At 34.6% G+C, this 23,615-nt stretch overlaps 1 long non-coding RNA gene across 1 annotated transcript, besides 1 other annotated feature; it reads right to left on the bottom strand.

Moving 5' to 3' along the window:
* Positions 1-1,919: 1,919 nt before the first annotated feature.
* Positions 1,920-22,360, bottom strand: LOC105375710 (uncharacterized). Its single transcript, XR_928545.3, has 6 exons — positions 22,097-22,360; positions 15,411-15,499; positions 14,055-14,148; positions 9,566-9,681; positions 7,452-7,490; positions 1,920-6,578 (listed from the first exon to the last, which is right to left on the bottom strand). It is a non-coding gene; the product is annotated as an uncharacterized LOC105375710 (long non-coding RNA).
* Positions 22,544-22,838: a silencer, noted in NCBI's record as "tiled region #9676; K562 Repressive non-DNase unmatched - State 24:Quies". NCBI's record gives its function as "represses a minimal TATA promoter and a strong SV40 promoter by Sharpr-MPRA in K562 cells {active_cell/tissue: K562}" and the evidence as "EXISTENCE:reporter gene assay evidence [ECO:0000049][PMID:27701403]".

The raw sequence follows: 23,615 nt of genomic DNA on the forward strand, positions 1-23,615 counted from the left end.
AAAAAAATAGTTAAGAGATTTTATTTACTTATTTGTTTACGTATTTATTTATTTATTTATTTATGTTTTGAGACTGAGTCTTGCTCTGTTGCCCGGGCTAGAGTGCAGTGGTGCGATCTCAGCTCACTGCAACCTCTGCCTCCCAGGTTTAAGTGATTCTCCTGCCTTGGCCTTCCAAGTAGCTGGGGTTACAGGTGTGCGCCACCACACCCAGCTGATTTTTTTGTATTTTTAGTAAAGACGGAGTTTCACCATGTTGGCTAGGCTGTTCTTGATCTCCTGACCTCAAGTGATCTGCTGGCCTTGATCTCCCAGAGTTCTGAGATTACAGGCATGTGCCACCGCTCCCGGCCTAAGAGAGGTTATTTTTTTAAAAAAACAGTTTTAAGTTTACATCAAAACGGATGGGAAGGTACCGAGACATCCTATGAACCTTCTGCCTCCACACATGCATATTCTCCCCTATTATCAACGTCCCTTACTGAAGTGGTGCATGTGTAACAATTGGTGAACCTACACTGAGACATCATTATCACCCCAAATCCACAGTTCATACAAGTCTTCACTCTTGATGCTTTGCATTCCCGGGCTGGACAATTAATAATGACATGTATCCATCATTATAGTATCACACAGGTTACTTTCAGGGCACTGAAAATAACGCTATCCTCTGCCTATTCATCAATCTCTCTGGACCAACCCCTGCAACTATTGATATTTTTACTATCTTCATAATTTTTCCTTTTCTGAAATGTCATCTAGCTGGAATAATACAATATGTACCCTTTTCAGATTGACTTCTTTTATTCTTTCTTGAGATTTAATTTGCTTTACCTTTATCTTCCTAAGGTGGAAGCTTAGATAATTGCTTGAGTTCTTCTTGTATTCTAATGTTAATGCTATACATTTTACTCTAAACACTGCCTTCACTGAATCTCACACATCTTGAGAACTAGTGCTTTTATGTTGATTTAGCTCACAATATTTTTAAAATTTCTACTCTTTCTCCAACCCATGTGTTATTTTGAGGTATGTTGTTAAATCTCCAAATATTTTGTAATTTCTCAGCTATTTTTCTGTTATTGATTTCTAGTTCAAGTCCATTGTGGTCAGACACCAGACATTATGTAATTTTTATGTTTAAAATGTGTTTAAGGTGATTCTGAAGGCCCAAAATACAGTCTATTTTGTTGAATGTTTCATGTGAGCTTGAGAAAAATATGTATTCTGCTGTTGTTGGATGAAGTAGTCAGTAGATGTCCATTATATCTATTTGATTGATGGTATGGTTAATTTTAGCTATGCACTTACAGATTTTCTGCCTACTGGATCTGTCCATTTCTGTTGGAGTGTTGAAGTCAATTATGATACTGTATGCATTTATTTCTCCTCATATTTCTATGGGTTTTGCCTCACATATTTTTATACTCTGTTGTCAGGCACATACACATTAAATATTGTTATGTCTCATCGAATGAGTCCTTCATTATTACATCATGCTCCTTTTTATTCCTGACAACTTTCCTTACTCTGAAATTTGCTGTGTCTGAAATTAATATAGTGCTAATTCTGGTTTCTTTTTATTGGTATCAACATGATATATCTTTCTCGATTTATTTAGTTTGAATCTATAAGTGCCTATAAGAAAGTGCGTTTTCTGTAGGCAACACATAGTTGGGCTTTGTTTTCTGATTCTCTCCTGACAAAGCTGGATTAATATCTACTATATTTGTTTCAGTTTTCTAATTGCTGCCATTATTTTTTGCTTCTATTTTTATTTTTCACTCTTTTTCTGTCTTTTGTGGTTTAATAGAGCATTTCTTATGGTTCAATTTCCTCTTTCTCTCTGTTAATTCCAGCATGCCTGCTATGTCTGAGTCTGGTTCTGATGCTTGCCCTGTCTCTTGGAATTATTATTATTTTGTCTTTTGTTATGTATTGTAAATTGTTTTCTTGATAGTTGGAAATGGGCTGGTTAAAAGGAATTGTAAATAGGCCTTTAGTAATGCGACGATATGGTGTACTAGGAGAAAGGGGGTTTTCTTTAATCCTGTTAGTAGCTCTAGTCTTTTCGTGAGCCTGTGCCTGAGTTGTGAACTTCGAATCTGCTTCTCAACTTTTTTTTTTGCTTTGTTTTCCCACCCCTTTAGGTGGGACACAATGGCTAGAGTGAGCTGGGTTTCGGCATTTTCCACGTAAAGAAAGGAGGGGCTGGAGTTCTGTGTTTCCCTTCCCCAAGGTCATGTAGGCTCAGATAAAACCCCAGCAGTTTAGGCTTTCTTTAACTGGTTTCTCCTGTAGGTAAATCTTGTAAAGAAAAGACTGTTCTGGAAAATTTCAAAATGGTTCCTTTACCCACCCACTGCTGAAAGCTTGAGGGTAATTTTCTCTGATATTCATTATGAGAACCTGGCAGAGCTCCTGAAGGCAAAACTCAGAAACAAATGGGGGGGGGGGTCCCAAAGACTGTAGCACAGGAGTTTTTAATCTTTCAGACTCTTCCATAATGAGCCTCCAGCAATTTGTCAAGAACCCTTAAGTTTTTCCTATTTTGACACTGGTTCCTATGGAGATTGCTGCTCTTATAAGTTGTGAGAAATTTAATTGTTTTTTACTTTTGATATAAATACCTCTACATGAGTAATACATCTGTATATTTGCTGTATTTCAAAATAAGTAAGATGGGTCCATGGGCACTATTCAGTTACATGCTCAAGCAATTTTTTAGGGTGTAAGTAATAAGTACCCTTTAGTCAATAACATGTATATATTACTTATTTTCATGGTAAAATGACTAGATGATTTGATATTCCTTCCTCCCTGTCCCTTTTTATAGATTAAATTTAGCACATATTCAGGATAACAACTAGATGTCAGATATTTGATTACACAGAATCTGTGAAATAAACCAATAGATAAGATCTTATGCAGCATGCAAACCCATTTTTTTGCAGTATTCACTGCAAAATCTTATAAAATCCTATTTCAAGGTTATAAAATTTAATCAACTAGGCATTTTTAAGCCAAAATCTTGTACTTTCTACATTTTAAGCATGTCGTAAGAAAAGAATATAGACTCTGGCTGTTTCCATTTTGAAACATCTTATTTTGATCATATAAATAAGCAAAAGATTACCCTGAGCCAGATTGGTTTTCTCTCTTATCATTAAGGCCTCCACTCATTTCTGCCACCTGAGTCTTCTTATACAATTCTGTAATTATACACATATTAACATCAATTGAGTAAGTAAATGGATAGCATCATTTTAATTTATATTTTTCCAAAGTGAACAAAACACATGTTTTACAGAAATTAATAGTTGTATGCAGTTTGATTACAAAATAATACAGCTGATATTTCAAGCAGTTTGTAGCTCGCTAGCTCATTAATTTTTGCTCATTAATTACACTTTTTCTCTCTCAACTCTCTTACTCTAATCTACTTTCTCTCTGCACCCTCAATACACACATAAAATGTAAGTAATAGCAGAGTCTGACATAAATCAGTTTAAATTACAGTTTTGCCAGTCACTGTTTTTGACACTACGGATAAATTATTCAATAACTCTGAGGCTCATTTTCCGCATCTGTGAATTAGGGATAAAAACGCTTATCTTATATTGTTCCTGTGAGTATCTAATGAGGGCATATCTGTAAGTGCATGTTACCTAGGCTTGCACAGTATTTTCTAAAAATGAACTATATATATAATCATAGTTTCCAGATCGTTAACCTTCATTTTAATGGTGCAGAATATTTTTGTTCAGTTGGTCTACAATTTATACACATATATTTAAAGCTACACAAAAATATATTAACTAATAAAAAAATGGACTATAAAATCTGAAAAAGGAAGACTTAAGAACGGTGATGGGTTAATAAATAGCTCAATGCAGACTTGTTAAGGGATGACTAGCTGAATAGGTGTGTCAACAATACAATCACACAATCGTCTTCAAATAATTTTTAAATAAACATATTACTGGCATTTACTAATACAAAGAAGGGTTTCTATCTATAAGATAATTTAATAGGATCTTTCTGCACAGATTAAGTTGATTACCATAAATAAACTAGAACTGATGTATTCAAGGGGCATGGCTGTTTGAAGAACAGAAGGTAGCCACATGAATGTGTTCTATTTAGTAATTAACAGTATGTAAAATGAAAGAATACCTAAACCAAAATGGCTCCACTTAATCAACTGTTTTGTTGGTAGATTACCTAGACCCAGATCCTCTATCACTATCTTCTCAGGAGTCCTAAGCATATTAATGCACTGCTCTTGAGTTTTTAGAATTTGTTCAGAGTGTTTAAAACTACATACATGTAACATCTGTTTTATACAAGATACTTCAAAAACCAAAGTGATTACTATAATACATTCTATTAAACCTAAACCAACATGTGTTCAAATGCAGAGAACAAAAAGGAATGTTTTGTCAGATGTTGCATCTGATGGATTGAAAGAGTTCTATAAAATAGCTCCTCTATAGCTTGTGCTTTCTGTATTTTTGAGTCTTTAGGAAAGTTTAATGCTGGGGAATATCTGTGATGTGTGTGTGTGCCTAGGCAATTCAACCCTTTGTGGTAACACAGCATTCCTAGCTATCATTCTATCGTATGACAATTTATTAATTATCATAATTTACTGGCAGTAATATTTTTCTTTAATTCCTCTTTTCAAACTTGTCAGATTCAGTAAGAAAAACCAATGTAATATGCAAATGTCTCCACTCTATCATTCCATGAGTTATGAGTCCTTTCTTACCAACTATATCATTTATAAACTAAGTACATGAATACTACCAAGTAATATACTATCTTATCATTAACATTAATCAACTTATGCAATACTTTTTATATATTGAAAAATGTCTACTAGAGTATAAAAAAATTGTAAAAAACTCAAACTCTTTTTTTCTTCTTATTTTGACTGCTGCCTGATGTAAACAATCAAACTTTTCATATAGATCCCTATTTCTATTTCTATGTACTACTATTGTAACACGCTTTCTCATTATCTTAATTTATGTTTATAAAAGTCAAAACATATTTTTGTCATGAGTAAGATGGTCTTTTCATATTATGCACTGTGTTAATCGGAGGGGAAGTAGGGCAGGGAGAAAAGGAAACTATAGTATATAAAAAAACTACTAAGTCCCAGAACTGCAATACCCAGTAGTGTAGCAACTAATCTCTTGAAACTATTGAACACTTGAAATGTAGCCAGTGGAAATAGTGAAGTGCGGAAGGTGCAGTATACACATTGGATTTTGAAGACAATACAAGAAACAGACAGACAATGAATAATACTGGTATCTTGTATTTATCCCATTTTGAGATGATAATATTTTTGATATATTAAGATATATTATGATTAATTATACCTGTTTATTTTCACTTATTAATTTTGTTTTTTAGGAGATTAAAATTACATTTGTGATTCATATTTTATTCTTATTGGAGAGGACTGTGCCAGATACTTCACACTAACACTTTGAGTTATGGAGGAACATGATCCCTTCTACCTGTATCATGAAGTTTGAGAATTTGAAAATTATAGTCCTACTTGAATTAATTTTATATTACTATATAAAAATACCAAAAACTTAGTAACTTAAACAACATCCATTTATGATCTTACATTTCTATATGTTACAACTCCAGGTTTGATTTTACTGGATTCTCTGCTAAAGGAGTTTCACTCAAGGTATAGAGGCTCTGGAGAAGAATCCACTTTGAGCCCCTTTGGGTTGGGCCCACTGTTTTCTGTTACATGGACCCCTAAATCTTCAAAGAGAAGTTGAATACTTTCTGTATTTTGAGTTACGATTTTTTCCTCTGTCTCTGACCTGTAGAACCTTATGTGAAAGTTCATGTGACTTGGTCAGGTCCATCTAAATAATCTCCCTTTTCATTAACTCATTTACAAAATTCCTTTTGCCAACTGATTTGGCTCAAAATTAGTAATTGATGTTATAGAAGCCTGTGGGTTTAGGGAAAGGGGAAATTCACCAAGAACCTAAATAGCTCTGTCTGCTTTGTCTTTTTTCCAAATGTACCATGTGGTAAATTGCTAAACCTTATTGAGACAGTGTTTTCTCAGTTGACAAACTGAGTGTACCAACACGCTACATTTCTGTATCATGGGGTTGATAAGGATTTTATATGTATATATGCAGAAAGAGACTATAGAGGCTTGTATATATGTATATGTGCATATGTATATGAACACAAAATTCTACAAAGTGCTTATACCAATATAAGTACTATCGCTTAGAATGCACCTTTTTAGCTACCTTTCAGATTCTTGTCCACTAAGCATTGCCAAGTCTTCAAAGGTAATTGCTGCAATTTTGGCAAAATCTCTAAGACTACTTTTCTGTTCTCATGAAACTCTGTTTAAATAGGAAAAACACAAAATAGGTAGGCAAACTTTTTTCTTTCTTTCTTTCTTTTTCCACAGGAAACGACGAGGCTGAATCCTGTTGGAGTGATTTGTTCTTCGGACTTTGTATCTTAAATGAAATCTTCTCCCTTAGAGGCCACATAAACTGATGGTACAATCTGCAACTCTAAGCAAATTCATAGGTTATACTTTTTCTTCTTCATACTTGACATTTGAACCTAGCAAGTTTGAATAGCCTGTAATTTGAAAACTCCCTTGCACATCTAGCAGATCAAGGTAGCTTGTTCTGCCTTCTGGACAAATGGTGCCCTTAAGTCAGCTTAGGGAGACTGTTCCGATATCAAGATTCTGTTTGAATACTATATACTCTCAGCTGCTTATTTATTCATATATATATGACACGTTTATCATGGAAGTATTTCAAAACTATCTGAAAATGAATATTGATTATTAAGGCATTCAGTTTTAGGAAGAAAACATACATAAATATATGATCTTCATTATTTTCCTTTCTCCATGCAATTTCAATAGATATTTATCAAGAACTCAAAATATGCCTAGCACTGCCTAGGTGTTGGAAACATTAGAGAAATTAAAACAGATAAATTCCTTCCTTTAGTAGACTTAGTCTAACTAAATAAATGATTTTTAAAAGGGCATAATAAATGGTATAAGCAAAAGAAAATGAAGGTGAGGGGAATAGGGCATGCCAAGTAGGGAGCTGCTATTTTAATGAGGCCTAGGAGAAAACCATTTATAAGGTGACATTTGAGCAGAGACCTAAAGAAAGTGAGAAAACGTGATACATGTATGTACATGGAAAAAGAATATAATAAGCAAAAAAAAAAAAAAAAATGGAGGCCAAGAGGGAATCTTATGCATTACACAGATTTTGAACTAAAAGCAAGAAGGCCATAATGGCTAAAAATAAATGAGGATTCATTAAAGAGGGTGAAGAATATAGAGAGTTAGGACTATTGCTGTGATGTAAAGTCATTGGAGAGATGACCTGAGAGATTAGAACCCTGGGGTAACTTACATTTCATTTGCTGTTTTATTCCAAAGTGATATTCATTATCTAAAGAAAAAAATCAAATATACAGAAATGATAAAATACAAAACAATGCTGACCTTTAAGAAACATTGACCTATAAATACTAAGATGTTAAATATTTGTTTCTTGTGATTTGTATCTTTATTGATGTGATAATTATGTATCTATAAGTTTGTGAGTAAAATACATAACAAGCCTGGAATGTATTTTCTTTATAATTCACATTAATTTTTTGCACTAAAATTCAATCTAGTAAATTTCCTGTTATAGTCAATTAATTTTGACAACACATATTTTAATGCTCCATGGTATTAACAACCCATTATGATTTGCATTTAAGATTATTTAGAGTATTCAGTGTAATAAATAATGCAAATGTAGGCAAAAGCTTTTCCATGTATACACACACACTACACACTATATTTTTAATTATTTCATTCACATAGATTAAAATAAACTTTTGTTTAATGTAAAACAATATTGATGCTCCCAACTCCCTAGTTACTTTGTACAATTTGCATGCCTACCAGCAATGATGAATATCCTAATTGCCTTAAACATATCTATATTATGTCAAATCTTTCATGCACTTTCAGTGTCTGACTTCTTTAGCACTGAAGTTCATGCTCAGATTTAAAGGGCCTGTATGAATAGGTGAGGCCCACCTGAATACTCTGCAGATAACCTGATTTGGTACCTTAATTCCATCTTTAAAATCCTTTCTAGCAACACCTACATTCATGATTGATAGACTAACTGAGAGAAGGTATATACACCACGGACTGCGAATTTTGGAGGTCACTTTAGAATTCTGTCTACCACGGATACATTTGAATATATCTGCACATTTACATATAGTTGTCACCACATTAAGGAAAATTAACATATAGATTACCCCGAAAAATTTCCTCAAACTATTTTATAATTCCTTAATCCCACCCCTTCTTGCCCTCTTTACCACCTTCAATTCTAGGAAACTGCACCTATGCTTTTTGTCACTATGATTGGTTTGTTGTGTCTGAGATTTTATATAAATGTCACCATACACTATGCACTTTTTGTCTGACTTCTTTCAACTAGCATAGTTTGAGATTCCTATATGTTTTATCTATCAATAGTATATTTTTATGGCTGAGTCTTATTTTATTATATGACTATATTCACCTTCATGACAATAGACATTAGGTTGTTTCCAGTTTGGGGCCTGAGAAATAAAGTTGTTTTGAACATTCATGTACAAGTATTTGTAAGGACATATGCTTTTATTTCTTTTGCATAAATACTAAAAAAAAGAGTGGCTGGGCTATAAGTGTGTTTAGCTTTTATAAAACCTAAATAATTCAAAAAGCAAAAAATGAAAATCTCATTTAAAACAATGGGCAAAGGACATAAACAGACATTTCTCAAAAGAATACCTACATGCAGCCAACAAACATGAAAAAATTCTCAATATCACTAATTATTAGAGAAATGCAAATCAAAACTACAATGGGATACCATCTCATATCAGTCAAAATGGCTATTGTTAAAAAAATAAAAAATTACAGGTGTTGGTGAGGTTTCAGAGAAAAGGAAATGCTTTCACACTGTCAGTGGGAATGTAAATTAGTTCGGCCACTGTGGAAAGCAGTTTTGAGATTTCTCAAATAACTAAAAAAACAGAACTACTGTTCAACCCAGCAACCCCATTGCTGGGTATATACCCAAAGGAAAATAAATTGTTTTTTCAAAAAGACATGTGCACTTGAATGTTCATTACAGCACTATTGACAATAGGGAAGACATGGAATCTACCTAGATGTATATCAGTGTTAGACTGGATAAAGAAAACATGGTACACATCCACCATAGGATACTATGCAGCCATAAAAATGAACAAAGTCATGTCTTTGCAGCAACATGGATGCAGCTAAAGGCCATTATCCTAAGCAAATTAACAGAGGAACAGAAAACCAAATACTACATGTTCTCACTTATAAGTGGGAGCTAAACATTGAGTTTAGTTTACACATAGACATAAAAATGGAAACAATAGACACTGGTCACTGGGGACTTCCAGAAGGGGGAGCGTGGGAAGAGGACAAGGGTTGAAAAATTACCTGTTGGTTACTATGCTCACTACTGGGTGACACAAACATTTGTACTCCAAACCTCAGTGACGCAATTCATCCATGTAACAAACCTGCACATGTACCCACTGAACCTAAAATAAAAACTGAAAGAAAAAAATATATTTTTAGCTGTAGCTGAAAAAAAAAAAAGGAAACAGAAAAAGAAACCGCCATGCTATTCTTCAAAGTATTTGTGTCATATTACATGTCCAGCATCAGAGAGTGAGAGTTCCAGTTCTCCAGCACTTGGCCTTGTTCTCTCTAACTTCAGATATTCTACAGGATGTGTAGTAGTATCTCAATGTGCTTTCGTTTCCAGTTCCTTAGTTACTAATGATGTTTAACCATGTTTTCATGTGCTATTTTATCCTTTGTGCATTTTAGTTTGTGAAGTGTCTTTAGCAATTTTTACCCTTTTTAAAAAAAAGTATTGTTTCTTTCTTATAATTTTTTTTTTTTCGTTGAGATGGAGTCTCACTCTGTCACCCACACTGGAGTGCAGTGGTGCGATCCCGGCTCACTGCAACCTCCATCTCCCAGGTTCAAGCAATTCTTGTGCCTCAGCCTCTCCGGTAGCTGGGATTACAGGCATGCACCACCATGCCCAGCTATTTTTTTTTTTTTTTTTTTGTATTTTTAATAGAGACAGGGTGGGTTTCACCATGTTGGCCACGCTGGTCTCAAACTCCTGCCCTCAAGTGATCCACCCGCATTGGCCTCCTAAAGTCCTGGGATTACAGGTGTAAGCCACTGTGCCCAGCCTGTTTCTTATAATTGGATTTTGAAAACTTTTTTATATATTATAGATACATGTCTTGTATCAGTCATGAAATTTTAAATATATTCTCCAAGACTGTGTATTGTATTTTCATTCCCTGAAAAGTCTTAATAGAAGAAAAAAATTGCTAATTTTGATAAAGTCAAAATTTTTAACTTTTCTTTTTCATGAATCATAATTTTGATGCCATCTATAAGAAATATTTGCTTGGAACGCATTCATAAAGAATTTCTCCTCTCCTTCTAGTAATTTAAGAATTTTCATTTTTATATTTTGGGACAATTGTCATTTTGAGTTAACTTTATATATGATGTGAGGTATGGATGGAAGTTTATTTTTGTTGACAAATGGTTATCCACCTGTTCCTGTGAAGAAGCATTATCTTATGTCCATTGAATTCCTTTGTACCTTTGATAAAAATCAGTGAAATATATGAGACTATTTATGTACAGTCCATTCTGGTCCATTGAACTGTCTTCACACCAATGCCATACTGTCTTGAATACACTGTAGCTTCATGGTAAGTCTTGAGGTCAGATAGGATATACAGTTCAAATTTATTTTTACTTTTAATTGTTTTGGCTATTCTAACTCTTTAACATTTTCATTCAAATTAACCTATGAATGTTTTCAAACAAGCCTACTATAATTTCAAATGAGTTTCTGTTAAAATTTTGTTGATCAATTTCAGGAGTATTAAAATTTTCCTAATATTGAGTCCTTGGATTCATAAACACAGTTCATCTCTCCATTGATTTTTGTCTCTTGTATTTGTGTCAGTTAAATTTTTGTAGTTTTTAATATATAGGTCTTTCACATTTTTCATGGTTTAAGCACTAATAAAATTATACTTGTATATTATAGAAAATGATATTTTATTTTAATTCTGATTATTGTTTTTGAATATAAAAGTACAATGGAATTTTATGGGTTTTGTATCTTGTGACCAAATTAATTAGTTCTAGGTCTTTATGTAAATTATAGGATTTTACATGTATGATAACATCATTGTGATAGTTTTACTTCTTCCTCTGTAATCTGAATGCCTTTTGTATTTTTCTTGCATTTATTACACAGACTAGAGCTTCCATTATAACGATGAATAGAAGTTGTAAGAGCAGATGACCTTGACTTTCTGCTACCATTAAAGGGGAAATGTATAGTTTACGATAAACTATGATGTCAGCAAGAGGTTTCTCTGAAATGCCCTTTTTTAGATTGAGGAACTTCCAAATGATTCCTAGATTGATGACAGTATTTATCAGGGATGAATTTTTGGATTTATCAAATGTTTTTTTCTGCATTTATTGAAATTATCATAGTATTTCCCTTCTGTGAGTTTGTTAAATATGATGACATACTAATTCTCAAAGGTTAGAATACTTTCACTTTTCTGATTCACTTTGTCAGGTTATATTAACACTTGATTTTCTTAAAAAAACAACTTTTGATTCATTGATTCGATTTATTGTTTTTCTATTTTTTATTTTGTTGATAATTCTTATCTTTATTAACATTTTCTATTTATCATTGGCTTTAAGGAACTTAACTTTTATATGACTTGATGTAGTTTTCTTCATATTTCTAGTACTTGGGCTTTGCTGAACTTCTTGGCTCTGTTGGTTGATGTTTTTTAATAAAACATGGAAACATTCCCATCATTTTTTCTCAAATATTTTTCTGCCTCTCTTATTATCCTTCTAGACCCAAATTGTGCATGTATTTGATCACTTAAACATATCCCATAATTCACATAAGCTATTTACTACTTTTAAGACCCTTTTTAATCCATATTTTACTTATATAGTTTCTATTGTTGGACTTTAAGTTAATTAATATAGTTTTATGTTTTGCTTGGTTTTCTGCAGTTTCTAATCTTTTATTTCATAGATTGTGTTTTTCAGAGCTTTCTTTTTTATGTCTGGAAGTTAAATTTGAACTTTTTTATATTTTCTATATTTATTAATACCATCAATTTTTATATACCTCGTTGAATATATAAATTTGATTGACAAAAATAATTTCAATGTCTTTGTCTACTGAGTCTATCATATTATTTCTATGTGTGATTTGGTTTATTATTCTCCCAATTAGTGATCAGATTTCTATGCTTTCTGAATGCCTGATTAATTTTGACTAGAGTTTATATACTGTGAATTTTTTACCTTTATCCTGCTAGCTCCCATATATTTGTGTATTCACAAAAATGTTATTGAGCTTTGTTCTAAGACACAGATAAATTTCTTGGAAATAGTTTGTTTCCTCTAAGGCTTATTCTAGTCTTTGTACACAGGACCCAATAACCTAACAATCTGTTGCTAATTTATTTTTGCCACTACTGAGTCAATATCCTTCCAAATAAGAATAGAAAATATTATCCCATTTTTATTAGCATTGGGGATTATTTTTTCTGCTTTTTTTGGGTGGTGCTTTCTCTGGCTTTTTTTTTATATATACACTCATATGCTGCTTAGTCTTCAAGTAAAATCTTGACAGAGACATCTGGATCTCTCTCTCTCCCTCTTTCTTCTAGTGTGTTTTCCTGCAAACTCTTTGTGCCTCCTGAACTAGGAAGATTCCTAGGCTCCAACTTTATTTTATCTTCCTGTACTGCAGCGTCAAACCACATTGCAGTTAGTATGCTGGGGGATCATAAGACCATTTCTTTCCTCTTTTTCAGGAAATCTCTCTTGCAATTCTTAATATCTAAAGTCTGAAAACTAAAGGTTTATTCTTTTATTATTTTTCCAGAATATTTGACTCTTTCAAGCAGTAGAGTATATCCCATATCCCATCCCTGTTATTCTACCTTGCCCTGAAAAAAAAAATCACTTTTTGACTTGTAATTTTTTTTTTTTTTTTTTGAGACAGAGTCTAGCTCTGTCACCCAGGCTGGAGTGCAGTGGCGTGATCTCGGCTCACTGCAACCTCCGCCTCCTGGGTCAAGTAACTCTTCTGCCTCAGCCTCCTGAGTAGATGGGACTACAGGCGCGTGCCACAATGCCCAGCTAATTTTTGTATTTTTAGTGGAGACGGGGTTTCACCATATTGGCCAGGCTGGTCTCGAACTCCTGACCTCATGATCCACCCAACTCGGCCTCCCAAAGTGCTGGGATTATAGGCGAGAGCCTCTGTGCCCGGGCTTTGACTTGTAATTTTAAAAACAAAATGTAGAGGTATCAGTTGTTTCAGACGTGTTGTATTAATGAGGAAAGTAATAGAGTAAAACTATTGATAATATTTCATGCTTACTATACCATTGATGTACAATATTCCACATACAGTGTTATAATTTAGTGGATTTTTTATATATTACTATTTAACCAATGTCACTGGATTCAGAAGTATTTATGTTAAGATGTAAAGGATAAATAAAATATTTTATGATTTAAAAATATATCAGAAATTTAATCACCTGGTAAACATCAATATAAAGCCAATTGAAACTAACAACATTTTTCTTTGAAAACATAAACCAATGTGCACATGCTGAAATTGGGAGCAACTTTGTTAAAATTCATCAAAGAAAATGGAAAGAAGAAAAGTTCACTTTAATTCCACTGGGTAATATAAAAATACATTTTTACTGTGAGATTATTTGCAAGTTATATTTAAAGATACCATCTCTGTGAATATTTATGTACTGTTAACATGACTCCTCTTCTAGTAGTCAGAAATTTGTGTTCAGCTGTCACTCACCGCAGCTACTTCAGACTTTCTGCTTTAAAAAAATCGTTGAACATTTTAGCATCTTTCTTCAAGGACATTCTTTCATAGGATGTCAAGGAGCACCCTGAAAAAACACAAGATGTAACTTTATGCTTCCTTTTGGAGGAAAGTTACCACCCCATAAAAACTTCAATTACAATTTCCATGATATATTTTGGAGCAGGCTGGGGTAGGCTTGAGCTTGGATAATGTTTCAAAACCCTATTTCATTTTTTAAAAACACAAATAAAAAAATTGTAATCAGAAATATTAAATAAAATTTCTAATGCTATGTTTTACTCTTGGGGCAAATTGAGTTACTGTTAATATTGATGAAATTTAGACTTTTCTTTTAAAATAAGTGTTGTACCTACCACACTGGGTTTCTCAGACCATTTTTAAAACATTTACTATGTTTTTAAGTTTAAAATGTTTTTTTTAATTCACAGAAAATTGGCAGAGATACTGCAGAGAGCTCTCATATGCTCAACACCCAGTTTCCTTATTATTAGCATTTTAAATTAATATGATTTGTTATAATTAATAAACCAATATTGATACATTATTATTAATGAAAGTCCATACTATATTCATATTTCCTTAGTTTTTATCTAATGTCATTTGTATTTTCCAGGATCTCACCTAGAATGCCATATTATATTTAGTTATTTTTCTCTTTAGGATTGGCCACAACACTTTTTTAGACATTCTTGTTTTTGATAACTTTGACAGTTTTGAGGACGACCAGTCATGTATTTGGAGAATACCCTTTATGGATACCTTCTCATGTTTAAACTGACTTTTTACGTATTTTTTTTTAAGGAAGATCATGGAGGTAAAATGACATTTTCATTCCATCATATCAGATATATACTGTCAACATGATTGATCGCTGATGCTGTTGATCTATCAGCTGTTGAGATAGTGTTTCTTAGTTTTCTTCACTGGAAAGTTATTATTTTCCCATCTTTTTATATTGTACTCTTTGGAAGAAAGTCACTGTGTGCAGCCCACTTTAAAGGGAAGGCATTACAACCACCACCTGAATATGAGTTTCTACCTAACGTGACTGGTATTTTTCTTGATGAGATATTTATTTTCTCCACTTATATTTATTTACTCAATTATTTATTTACAATACTATAAACATATTTTACACCATTAATTTTACACTTTGGGAAATAATCTATTATGACATTATTCATTTTGCTACTCAAATTGCGATAGTTTTTATCATTGGGAACCCTTTCCCTTTGTTTCTATGTGCCTTTGATATACCACCATTATTGTGTGAAGGTTTTTGTTTCGGTTCGGTTTTTGTTTTGATTTTTTTAAATACTTTCTTACTTTCTAGAACTGCAGGATTCTCCAGGCTCATCTTGTATATTTCATGGCTCAGGCGCTGAATCACCATTTTCTCCATGGAGCACTTGTACCTTGTATTGGAGAATAACATCAGAAATCAAGATTTAGTTGTGTTCTCAATTTCTTTAAAGTGTTTTCAGTTTTAAGTCGGAGCTTAAATACTGAGTACACATGGACACAAAGAAGGGAACAACAGACACAGAGGCCTGCTTGAGGGTGAAGAGCGAGAGGAGGATGAGGATCGAAAAACTACCTATTGGGCACTATGCTTATTACTGGGTGACAAAATAATTTGTACACCAAACCCCCGTGACATGGAATTTACCTATACAGCAAACCTTCCCATGTATTCCCAAACCTAAAATAAATGTTAAACAAAAATCTGGGTGCTAGGTGTGCTATTGTTACAAGAAAGTCAATGTTTCTAGGCTCTGTTAACTGACAAAGTAAGGAAATACATACGCAAACACTAACTCATGTATACACTACACATTATCTATCATCTATCTAAATTTACATAAGATGAAACACGAATTGATACCGATTTCTCCAACTCTAATTGAATACCACATATATCATTCTAGTAGTCTCATCTTGCTGGTTTGTTACCTTCCACTGTAAAAGTGAGAAACCTGCATTGTATAAGAAGACTCTGTTCAGCTTTGAAAGAAACTGTAAAACCATTTTCCAAAGTGGATGTACCAAGTATACAATTTACTCAATTATTCAACTCAAATGTACATGTACAGGATTGTTAACATATGCCCTGTCGGGACAAGATATGAACTTGTACAGTGCAGAGTTTATGTAAAGATTACATTGCCTTCAGTCTTAACAGAATCCACCCTTCTCCAAAGTTACTTAGGTCAGCACCATTTGTGCATTGCCTTCAGGTAGGTTGCTTCATACATTGGTAAATACAGTTAGATTCTTTTATCACACTCAACATTTCATCCTGGGATTCCTTGACTTCCTATTTCTTAATAATTTGCATATATCAGCTTTCATGTCCTGTGCTGCAAGTGCAATAGGTTTTGACAACTGCAAAGTAGTATGAATCCACCATTATGATGTTATACAGAATAATTTCAATGCCCTAAGAAAATGCATGTGCTTCATGAATTCAACCTCTGCCCAAACCCTTGACAAACACTGCTTTCTTTATAGTTTCTACAGTTTTGCCGATAAATTGCAATCATGTATTAGATAGTCTTTACAGAATGCCTTTCTTCATTTAGCAATATTCATTTAAGATTCATCATGACTTGGAATAGCTTGATGGGTTATATCTATTTATTGCTGAATAATATTATACAATATATTTTTCTGTTCCATATTTAAGAATATATTGGTTGTTTCCAGTTTATTGTGATGATGTATAAAGCTGTTGTTAATATCTACATAAAGATTTGTGTGGGGACAATTTTTCAAATCACTGGTTAAGTAACTAGGATCACAATGGCCTGATTGTAAAATAAGCCTATGTTCAGCTTTGAAATAAACTGTCAAACCATTTCCAAAAGTGAATGTAGCAGTTTACATCCCCACCAGCAACAAACGGAGCACTAGTTGTTCTGAATCTACAGCAGTTGATATTGTTTAATTTATTTATTTTTACTTTAGCTATTCTAATAGGTGTGATGTTATACCTTACAGATTGAATTTGCATTTCAAATAGCAAATAATGTTGATCATCTTTTCATCTGTGTATCCTCTTACCTGAGGTGTCTATTTAGATCTTTTGCCTATTTTGTAATTGTGTCATTTGTTTAGTTTTAGGTGTTCTTTGTGTATTTTTTATTGTTTAGTTTTAGGTGTTCTTTGTGTATTTTAGATACAAGTCATTTTGAAAAAAAAAATGACTGTGTCTGGTTGAGGAGATTAACTCCTGGTTCAAAACCTATATGTGATTTTTTAGACCTGACCACAGGCAACTACAAAGGCTTTACCTGGCAGGACTCATGGGAATAAACTGCACTCCCACAGACCAGACTGGGTACACAGACAGTTCATTACAGTCTCTGAAGGGAGTTGCAGTTGAGAACTCAGGGCCTCTTGACTGGTCAGGCTCTTACGGTATTTAAATTCCTAGTGCCTTCATTCCTAGATCTCTTTATCTGAGGTCTAGGACAGAGAGATCTTCTTCAAGTATCTCTGCTGAGACCTCCTGGAGGAGAAAAAGGTGGGAAAACTTCAAGATATGCTTTTTTTCCCACTTTGACTCAGCACCCAGTAATTTGTCACTCCCAGCTCTTCCTCCTCATCCTGCCCCTGACACCAGGGTCTATAAAGCTGCCTGACTCTATTGTTTGCGGCTTCCTCAACAGGGAAATGATCCACCTCTCTGTGCAACAGAAACCCCTCCACCTGTGTGCCCTTCCATGGGAGGGATGAGACAGAGAGTTGGGGCTTCCTTTGGTTTTAGACTCCTGCTTATGCCATCACAGTATGTGAATAAAGGCTTAACTCCTTTATTTTTAACTTGTTGCTTTAATTGGATCCTCCAACACTTGCTTTAATTGGAGCCTCCTGATGCTAGGTTTTCCTTTCTCTTTACAGTGCATTTCAGGGAAACATAGTTATTAATTTCAACAAAGTCCAACTTATCAATTTTTTTTCTTTTTTTTTCTCTCAGGATTGTTCTTTTGGTGTTGCATTGAAAAACTTGTCACCAAAACCAAGGTCATATAGATTTTCCCTTATGTTTTATTTTATAAGTATTATAGTTTTACATTTTACATTTAGGTCTATGAGCCATTTTGAGACAATTATTAAGAATATAAAATGTGTTGGGTCTTTGCACAGGTATTTATTTTTCCTTTTTGCACATGGATATCCCATTGTTCCAGAAACATTTGTTATAGTCTATTCTTTCTTAATTAAATTGGCTTTCAATCATTGTCAAAAATTAATTGATTGTATTTTATTGGTTTATTGCTGGAAATCAATTTTGTCCAATTTACCTATGTTTCTATTCTTTTGTCAATAATATCCTGTTTTGATTCTTATAACTGTAATTAATGTAGAAATTGAGTAGTGTGAGTGCTCTTATATTTTTCAGCAATATTGCATAGCTATTCTAGGCATTTTGCCTTTCTATATAAATTTTAGAACCTTTTTATTAACATCAATAATAGTTTGCTGGGATTTTGATTACGATTGCATGAAATGCACAGACCAAGCTGGAAAGAAGTGACATTTTAATAATATTAAATCTTTCAATCCGTGAACATGGAATATTTCTCCATTTATTTAATTATTTGTTGATTTTTTTCACCATATTTTGTAGTTTTCTACAAACAGATTCTGGAGATATTCTATTAAATTATGTAAAGATTAGAACTTCCCTCTGCCTCTACTTTCTGGGAGATTTTGTAAAAATTGGTATTATTTTTCTTTAAATGTTTGTTAAAATTCTCTAGTAAAACCATATGTCTAGTGCTCTCTCTTTTAGAAAATTTGTAATTATTTAATTTGTTTAATATATTTTGAAATATTCAAGCATTATTTCTCCATTTTTCATTTTTGGTAGTCTTTTAAGAAATTGTTTCATTTTACCTAAGGCAGAAAATTGGTGCCTTTGAGATGTTTGTTGTATTTTTTATTTAAATTTTACTGCCCGACAGTTGGTAGTGATGGACCCCACTCACTCTGATGTTGTAATTTGGGTCATCTCTCTTTTTTTCTTGATTAGTCTGGATAGAGGTTTTTGAATCATATCAATCTTCTTAGAGAAAAAGCTTTAAATTTTTTTTTAATTTTAATTTTGATTTTTGTGAGTACATAGTTGATATATATATTTATGAGATACATGAGATGTTTTGATACATACATGCATTATGTAATCATCACATTATGGAGAATGGGGTATCCATCCCCTCAAGCATTTATCCTTTGTTTTAAAGAACAAGATTTTGGTTTCATTTTATTTGTTTTGTATTTCAATATTCTTGATATTTCTCTAATATTAATTTTAATTTTATTCTACTTTCTGACTGCCTAACTCAGTCTTTATTTTCTAGTTTCTTAGAGACTTGGGTTATTGATTGTAGATCTACCATATTTTCTAATATATTAATTTACTTCAATAAATTTTTCCTAAGCATTGTTTTTCCTACACCATACAAATTTTGATACATTTTATTTTTATTTTTTTTACCAGTTTATTGCTGTAGAAGCTCCTGTTCCAGGTAAGTAGATGTTGGCCATGACTCTCTGGAGTTATCTATCACCCCAGATATTGGATTAAAAGTTTGCCTTGCAAATTCAGTTCTCTGTTGGTCAAAGAAAATTAATTGATTTTAAGTTTTTCCAATTCATCTTGTTTTAAAGATAGAAGTCATGACTTCCAAGCTCTTTAAATGTCAGAGCTGAAACTAGAAGGCCACAATTATATATTTTAAGAACATAAAATGTCTCCCTTATTCCTATTACACAATAGGTTACAAATACCTGTCAGCTATGCTTTCTTCCTTCAGTAAACCTAAATTGGTGTACAACCACTGAGTTCCAGGTACTCAGCAAGGTGTCTAAGATTTACTAAAGACACAACTTGACCTTTGTTTTCCAGGAGACTTTAAAGCTTTTATTCACCTTTTACATTATACCAAGTAATTTTCACAGCTGCAGGGAAGTCACTCTTCATCTTTCCAATTAGAGTTGTTATACTCAAATGGTACTTGCATTTAGTATGTAATTTTATCATTTCACTCCGCTATAAATGACAGCTACCCAAGCTACCAGTTAACAATAGAAATAATATGCAGGAGCATCACACTAGAGAAAACTTCAACAAATAAGAGTTAGAGCACAAATAATTGAACGAGAAGCTTCTGAATTTTTAAAATATTATTCAACGTTATAGAAGTGTTTCTCTTTCATATTTACCTAAGCCCATTCTCTGAGTCATATGTCAGGCACTTAATAATAGTTTCTTGTCTCTGGTGCATCTGTAACTGAGTTCCTAATATAGAAGTTATCATCTGGTACAATTATACTACTGATTGCTATAAAGTTCACAGAAATTTCAGAAAGTCTCTTCAAAAATCCATTATCCTGTGTTGTGTGTTAGATTAATCCTAAGGACTGTATTTTATGTAGTGGATAAATTTGGATTTTATAATTAATAGTGACTTTTCCTATAATACATGAAGTGATATTAATGAATAGAATAGATAGTAAAAACAAGATGAAACAAAACAAAATGATAAGAACCTTTACATGTTCAGATTTAAAAAAAGCTTTAGAATTGATTTTGGAATGACATGGTCTACAAGACAGTTTGTTCCGCTGGCAAGTGAATTCAGTTCTATTTTTCCAAGAACTGAATTCAATTTTGAGTTAAATAGCCCATTTACCTGTGATTTCTCAGAACCTCTGAAACTGTCTCACGTTTTACATCTACACTTTCAACTAGAAAGAAAAGTTTTGATCTGAGGCAAACAAGATTCAGCTTTAAGTCCAGTTTTATTCCGCTATTTCCATAATTCAGAGGGAATTTAAGTTAAATCTTATAGTCAGACACTCTTTAGATAACTAGCTTAAGACATGCTCTCATTCTCTGAAGTTAGTTCCTTTCTGAAACACTTCTAGCATCATCATTCATATTTCCATTTTGTTGTTTTACAAATATATCACTTCTCGTAATATATTTTCTTGTGTATCTATGGAAAATTTTAGAAGACGGAAAGTATCTTTTATGATGATTTTGTTTAAATAAAGCCATTAAAGAGGTATTTTAAGTTAAGCTGTGGTTCATGCCCATCTTCTTTGGAAGAAGTTCAAATTATAGCTTTATTATTTAGTAAATGTGTGACCTTGACAACTCACTTAACCTATCATGTTTCAGTTTCTTCATCTGTAAACTAAAAAACTAACAATATACTGTTTAGCTACTAAACACAGTACTTATCAGGTTAAATGACTTAATATAAATAAAGTTATCTGAGGGTACTGGTTAAGAGCATGGATTTTTAAAAAGCTAAACCAAGAAAATAGCGCAAGATCTACTTTTAGGCAGAGATAGATTCCAAATCATATTAACTTTTCTACTTGTGCCTGTAGTAATTGTTTTTCCTCCTACTTAAAAAAAATAAGCCATTAAGCCATTTCTGATTTACATAAAATAGTGTCATTCTAGATTGATTTCTTTATTTTTCTCTTAGACACCAAAAACAATGACACCCATCATTGATTCTCTCAGGTCTTATAATGGAAATGGTCTCCTTTTGCCTCTGGTACAATGATATTTTCTTTACTTGTGTATCATATCACATCTGTTTCATTCAGTCTCTCTTTCTCATTCTCTTTCTCTTCCTCCCTCCTTTCTTCCTCTTCTCTTTCTCCTTTTCTTTCTCTCCTTGACCCTTAACTCTTTTTCTCCCCACTCAAGCTTCTTGAGTTGTCTATGCTTGTTTGCTATGTGTATTTTATTTCTTTCTTTCACCCTTCAACTGACTGTTGTCTGTTTGCATCCCAAAACACAAATTAATGTTGTCCTCCAAGATCTCCACTGACCTTTTCAATCTTTAAGCTACTTTAAATCTCTGCATTATTTTTCACTGTATGCCATTCATTTCATCCTAATATGTTTTCTAACGGGACAACAACCTTATCTAGTTAGCTTCAAAGTATTTGAGATTCCACTTCAAAGATGACAATTTCCTTACCTTTTCTATAAATAATCAAGATAATCCTTTCTAGTTCTCTCTTTCCTCCCGCATAGCCCACTCTCCTTGGGCAATGCTGAGAGGTGACAGCGTGCTGGCAGTCCTCACAGCCCTCACTCGCTCTTGGCGCCTCCTCTGCCTGGGCTTCCACTATGGGGGCACTTGAGGAGCCCTTCAGCCCACTGCTGTACTGTGGGAGTCCCTTCCTGGGCTGGCCAAGGCCAGAGCCGGCTCCCTCAGCTTGCAGGGAGGTGTGGAGGGAGAGGCGCCAGCGGGAACCGGTGCTGCGCGCGGCGCTTGCGGGCCAGCTGGAGTTCCGGGTGGGCGTGGGCTTGGCGGGCCCCGCACTGGGAGCAGCCGACCGGCCCTGCCGGCCCGGGAAATGAGGGGCTTAGCACCTGGGCCAGCGGCTGCGGAGGGTGTACTGGGTCCCCCAGCAGTGCCAGCCCACCGGCGCTGCGCTCGATTTCTCACAGGGCCTTAGCTGCCTTCCCGCGGGGCAGGGCTCGGGACCTGCAGCCCGCCATGCCTGAGCCTCCCACCCACTCCATGGGCTCCTGTGCGGCCCGAGCCTCCCTGATGAGCGCCACCCCCTGCTCCACGGCGCCCAGTCCCATCGACCACCCAAGAGCTGAGGAGTGCGGGCGCCCGGCGCCGGACTGGTAGGCAGCTCCACCTGCAGCCCTGGTGCGGGATCCACTGGGTGAAGCCAGCTGGGATCCTGAGTCTGGTGGGGACGTGGAGAACCTTTATGTCTAGCTCAGGGATTGTAAATACACCAATTGGCACTCTGTATCTAGCTCAAGGTTTGTAAACACACCAATCAGCACCCTGTGTCTAGCTCAGGGTTTGTGAATGCACCAATCCACACTCTGTATCTAGCTTCTCTGGTGGGGCCTTGGAGAACCTTTGTGTCCATACTCTGTATCTAACTAATCTGATGGGGACGTGGAGAACCTTTGTATCTAGCTCAGGGATTGTAAACGCACCAATCAGTGCCCTGTCAAAACAGACCACTGGGCTCTACCAATCAGCAGGACGTGGGTGGGGGCCAGATAAGAGAATAAAAGCAGGCTGCCCCAACCCGCAGTGGCAACCCGCTCGAGTCCCCTTCCACACTGTGGAAGCTTTGTTCTTTCGCTGTTTGCAGTAAATCTTGCTACTGCTCACTCTTTGGGACCACACTGCTTTTATGAGCTGTAACACTCACCGCGAAGGTCTGCAGCTTCACTCCTGAAGCCAGCGAGATCACGAGCCCATTGGGAGGAACGAACAACTCCAGACGCGCTGCCTTAAGAGCTGTAACGCTCATTGCGAAGGTCTGCAGCCTCACTCCTTAGCCAGCGAGACCACGAACCCACCAGAAGAAACTCCGAACACATTGGAACATCGGAAGGAACAAACTCCAGACGCGCCACCTTAAGAGCTGTAACACTCACCGCCAGGGTCCGTGGCTTCATTCTCTAAGTCAGTAAGACCAAAAACCCACCAATTCTGGACACAATGCTACCTACATCTA

This window comes from Homo sapiens, chromosome 8 (assembly GCF_000001405.40).
Source record: "Homo sapiens chromosome 8, GRCh38.p14 Primary Assembly".
Taxonomy (NCBI): domain Eukaryota; kingdom Metazoa; phylum Chordata; class Mammalia; order Primates; family Hominidae; genus Homo; species Homo sapiens.